General features: G+C 33.3%; 1 long non-coding RNA gene across 1 annotated transcript in view; it reads right to left on the bottom strand.

Moving 5' to 3' along the window:
• LOC107986059 (uncharacterized) overlaps positions 4,594 to 6,000 on the bottom strand; it is a 125,190-nt gene continuing 123,783 nt past the window's right edge. The window contains exon 5 of the long non-coding RNA XR_007095784.1: positions 4,594 to 5,190. This is a non-coding gene — a long non-coding RNA (uncharacterized LOC107986059). The remainder of the gene's footprint in view (positions 5,191 to 6,000) is intronic.

The following is a 6,000-nucleotide window of genomic DNA, read 5'->3' as shown; positions in this document are numbered from 1 at the left end:
ATCTTCTTCTTTGTCTGTTAAATACAAACAGGGGCTGACATGGACTCTAGCCAGAAGCAAATGCTTTACTGCCAAGGTTTGCAGCTGAATTTGTGAAATGCTTTCACATTTATTGGCTATTTAGTCCTGAGAGAATTACTTAGTTCTTTGTATCTCAGCTTCCATTTTTAAAATAGGCTAATAATGGCCTCCTCACAGGACTGGGATGAGGAGTAAATGAGCTAATACTGGCAAAGTGCTGAGGATAGTACTTAGCATGTAGTAAATGCTAAATAAATGTTAGCTATTATAGTCTATATGCGTAAATCATATAGACTATATGATGGGGTTCAGGTCAGAAGGAAATACAACATTTATATATTTATTCAAACAAATATTTGAAATTTATGTAGTTAAAAATAACCATTTGAATCAATCCTATTCTTATTCATTTATTCATTTAACACTCAGAAAATATTTGAGCATCTACCATGTGGCACTTGAGATTGTGTGTGTGTGTGTGTGTGTGTGTGTGTGTGTGTGTGTGTGTGCGTATACATATATACATAACGAAATAAGCAAAACCCTGCCCTTGTAGAGCTTAAATTGAAATAGAGTATCTTTTAATTCTGATCGCAACTAATTAAAATAACTTTACATCCTATGAAAATGTTAAAACCAATAGTCCAAAAAAAATCACTATTCAAGGAGATTAAATATACCAGTGAGATCTTCATAAATTTAAAGATGTAAAAATTGCATTAAAAAGGGAGTAGATTAGCTGGCTTTTCAAATCCCATTTTACTCCTATGACTTTATGAAAATATTTCAGGAATTTATTTTCCAGTGAAATGAGCACTTACTACATGGCAAAGCTCTGTGCTGAGAATTTTTCCTACTTTTATTTTCATTTGTAACAAACCTGCAAAGAACGTATCACCAGCACTTTACCGGTGAGAAAGCATGATAAAAGAAGTTTAGGAAACAGCTAGGATTTCATAGGTACTAAGTAGTGGAACTAGAATTCAAACTTAAGAAATCTGATTTCAAGGACACATGGTCTTTACTAATTCAAACTTAAGAAATCTGATTTCGAGGACGCATGGTCTTTACTAATATCTAGTACTTTGCATTTTAAAATTCAGTGTGGCAGCGTTACAGAAAAAAAGGAAAAAACTCTCAATATTTCACTTCAGAATAAAAAGGCTATTGAAATATTTTTATATTGTTAGAATGATACAACATGTTAGCACTTGTTACTTTTTAGTACTGAGCATATGGATGCTTGTTATATGAGTCTTTATAATTTTCTCTATTTTGTTTTTTGGAAAAAATAGCATATACTCACATACAAAAGCACAAAACCATTTATCATGCATTTACATGTGCCAGGTGCTATTCTGAGTTTATTATATGTATTAGCCCACTTAATCCTCCCAAGTAGTTTGTTTGGGAAATGCTATTATTGAAACACAAATTTTACAGATGAGGAAACTGAAGCACAGAGAGGTTAAGTAACTGAGAAAGCTAGTATTAAATTCCTGGCAGGAAGGTTCCACAGCCAGCTGGTGTTCTTCTTAAACACTATCTGATATTCTCACTTGAAATAAAAGCTAACATTTATGGAACACTTACAAAATGGCAAGCACTGTTTCCCTCACGTGGCATGCAATAACTTGTTTAATTTTTACAACAACTTTATAATATAGTTATAATATCCTCACTTTATGACTTATTTATTTTTATAGATTTAATGGATGCAAGTACAGTTTTGTTACATGAGTACATTGCCTACTGGTGAAATCTGGGCTGTTAATGTAACCGTTACCTGAATAGAGTACATTGTATCAAATAGGTAATGTCTCATTCCTCACTCCCTCCCCTCCTCCCACTTTCCTGAGTCTCCAGTGTCTATTATTCTACTCTCTATATCCATGTGTACACAGTATTTAGCTCCCACTTACAAGTAAGAACATGCAGTATTTAACTCTTTGTTTCTAAGTTATTTTACTTAAGATAATGGCCTCCAGTTCCATCCATGTTGCTGCAGAAGATATGATTTCATTCATTTTTATGTCCATGGTGTGTGTGTCTATATATATATATGTATATATTTGATGGTATATATATATATATGTATATATTTGATGGTATATATATGTATATATTTGATGGCATATGTAGATGTATATATTTGAAGGTATATATATATGAGATATATGTCTATATTATACATTGCCTATATATATAGATATATATCACATTTTCTTTATCCAATCATGTTGATGGACACTTAAGTTGATTCTATATCTTTGCTATTGTGAATAATGCTGTGACAGACATACCAGTGCAGGTATCTTCAATATAATGATTTCTTTTCCTTTAAATAACCCCCACTTTAACTATAGGAAAAGGGGGCCATAGGTTTAGTACCTTGCTTAAAACTTTACACATTTGAAATACATAACATCCATAATAATTATAGCTACTTTTGAGTATTTAAAATGTGTTAAGCATAGTAATATCATTTCTTTTAAATTATTTTACTGATTTACCAAATTAACTCTGCCAGGCAAGTTCTAGTCCCATTTTGCATATAAGATAATTGAGGTTCAAAAGTTGTATGTAAATCATCCAGAGTCACAAATATAGTAATATCTAAGCTGATGTTTGAACTATTGTCTTTCTAATGCCGAAGGTCATGGTCTCAACCAAAGGTGCAGATTAACACATTTCAAGCAGTTTCAGATTTATTCTCTAAAAAACAAAGAAAACAAAGAGAGAAAAATTGTCTTTTTTTTTTTTTTTTTTTTTTTTTGGCAGGGTTTTGCTCTGATGCCCAGGCTGGAGTGCAGTAGTAGGGTCATCTTGGCTCACTGCAGCCTCTGCCTCCTATGGCTCAGGTGATCCTCCCAACTCAGCCTGGGACTGAGTGTAGCTGGGACCACAGGTAAGCACCACCATGCTCAGCTAACTTTTTGTATTTTTTTTTTTTTTAGTAGAGATGGGGTTTCGTCACATTGTGCAGGCTCATCTTGAATTCCTGGGCTCAAGCGATCCTCCTGCCTTGGTCTCCCAAAGTGTTGGGATTACAGGCCTGAGCCACTGTGCCCAACCAAGAGAAGAACTCCTAAAGTTGAGATTTAGTAAGGATCCACATCCAGGAGGAATGTTTGGGGAATAAAATACTTTGGCTTGTCTGGGAGATGTTTGCATTCAGCACTTTACCAAGCTTACCCCTAATTTTTCAGTACAGGTGTGAAATTTGGTTCAAGGTCGAATACCATTCTTAATTTTGCCTTTTGAGTATACTATGTAGGTCACCTCCTGGGTGTATAACTCCATCCATAATTTACTTACACAGTGAGATAAAAGTTCCATTACACTACAAGACTGATTACCAAGGTTTTTTTCATTAAATGAAGTTAAAAGCCCAGATTCTTTATCTAAAGACCATCTGATGGGAATTGCACTGACATGATACTTTCATTTCTGGTTGGAACTGCAGGATAAATTTTCATTACTTAGCAATTTCTTGCAAATATTCTTGGGTTCTGCTAGTGTGAACCTTAAGTCCCATTAAAGGATCTGACAAGATAAAACAGCTGTTTTCCAACTATTTCCATTTCAATCTTATATGGAAGTGATCAGAATTTTGTATAATACCTACTATCTGAGACTATAAAGGCCTCTGATGTCAGCTCTTCTATTTCCAACTAGACCAATGTGACAGACAAGAATGGGTACTATCTCCTTTATTGTCCTTACTGAGTAAAGTTTTAACTTGTCACTATTTGGGTTGCTGAACATAATAATGAATTATTCACCCAGAAATCTTAAAACAGAAATTAATTATCTGCTGGTAATGTAGAATTTTTATTTTATTGGGTGAGTGCAGCTAAGAATTCTCTTGTATTACATAGATAACCATTCTAGAGACAGACAAATTGGGGAAAGAAAAAGTCCTGCTCAAATTTGATCTTTATCGGATTGATCTGTAGGTCAAACTCAGACTGCAATGTCTTTCTGAAACTTGTTAAAATTTTAGTTAAGAATTAACTAAAAATAAAGTCATAACCAAATGATGACTCACATTTACATTCTTATCCTAAAATACATCTAAATAATGTTACGTTTGTGGGTCAAAGCTATACTCAGCATATGTCAAGTTAAATGTCAAGTTAAAGAACATAGAGTAGAGTTGGACCTATGCTGTACCTAAATTTATGTATTGACTCAAAGGACTGTGTATATTTAGTGTGTGGGTATTGCATATTTTGAGTTAACACACACACACACCCCCACATATAAACCTAGTTCTTCAGTAAGAATTTACTTTAAGTTTGTAAAAAACTAACTTTTATATTATTAACCATCTAATTGTAACAAAGTATTTAAGAATGCCTTAATGATAAGGCAGTAATAATAATAATTCTACTGCAGATGATAAAGATAATAACTTACATTTATTGAGATTCATTACATAATTTTATTCATTCCATAACTTCATTACATTCAGATTCATTACATAACTTACTTTAATTACTTTCAATGACCATCAAAACAAGGTTTGTGATAGGTAATATAAATATTTCAACTTCATAGATGGGTAAATTGATATTTGAGAGAGAAATATTCATCTAACTTATATGAGGCAAAAGTGATTCAAATCCGTTTTTGTGTAACTCAAAAGACTGTGATTTTTAACTCCATCTTACATTACAGATACGTATGAAAAATGAGACACAAAAACATGTCTGCTTATAAATCATGTTACTTTTTGTGGTGCCTCCCCACACAAATTCCTTTCAATTGTTGATCTTTATAATTATACGGTAATCTTTCTCCAACCCCAAGTTTGCTCTTGCTGTACATGTCGGTATTTTTCCTTTTCAAAACAGTACATTCTAATAAGACTTCTACTTCTGGTCATAACTTAATAACTGGTACCAGACTAGCCCATTGACCACATAAAAGTTTGTAACTTGACAAAATACATGAAGCAGTTGAATTCAGGCAGTGGTCAACATGCAGCACAAACTGTGATGACTGAGAAGGGAACCTGACAAGGTGAGCACTCTGAAAACCCACTGCTACCTGAGCATAATTTTATGATCACATCTGAGAGAACTGGAATCCAAGCATAGCTGGAGTGTTCCACTGACCTGATGGGGCAGGCACGAGAGTTTAGGCAGCTGAAGTGGCTTGAATCTGCAGGACAGAACCCAGGAGAGAAGAGAGCTGAGCAAAATGGACAGGGATTCTTAAGTTCACGGTAGGAGACTCTGGTTTAGGACTGGGCTATCCCTGTGCTGGGCCAAACCTCCTTAGGCTTCTCAGATCATGTGAAGAGTGAAGGGGTAACAGATTCCGACAAGTTAAGGCTGCATATCGTTTACCATAGAGAGCCAATTAAAAACATAAAGAGATATAGCTGCGAAGTCAATAAGGAAGTGAAATAGAATGCTAAAATAAAGAATAACCCAAGGGAAAGCAAAAAAGATGCAAAAGAGAAGAAGACACCAAAGGGTCAAATGGAAAACAAGTAGTAAGCTCGTCCACTTAAACCAATGAGATCAATCATTATATTCAGTGTAAATAAACTAAACAGTCCCAATTAATAGACAGAAATTGATAGGCTAGATAGAAGTAAAGCAGATCCAATTATACATTATCCAAAAGTGGTACAGTTTAAATATAAAATATAGATTTTTAAAGTATCAATACTAGAAAAAGATATTTAAAATTAATGATTTAAGTATTTACCTACAGAAGCTGAAAAGTACTTTTAGCAAAAGTAAACAAACAGAAATAAACAAAAATAACAATAGCAAAACAAAAAAATAAACTATAGAAAAAATTAATAAGGCAAATGTTAGTTTGTTGAAAAGATCAATAATCAATTTTATATCAATATTGATATAAGACCAATAGTATTGATCTATAATATTGATAACTTATTATTCCAAACAGGAGTAATAAAAAGAGAGAAAACACAAATTGACAATATCAGAAATAAAA

Source organism: Homo sapiens, chromosome 3 (genome assembly GCF_000001405.40).
Source record: "Homo sapiens chromosome 3, GRCh38.p14 Primary Assembly".
Classification (NCBI taxonomy): Eukaryota; Metazoa; Chordata; class Mammalia; order Primates; family Hominidae; genus Homo; species Homo sapiens.
Note: the sequence above shows the minus strand (reverse complement) of the source record. Positions and strands in the feature narration are given on the sequence as shown.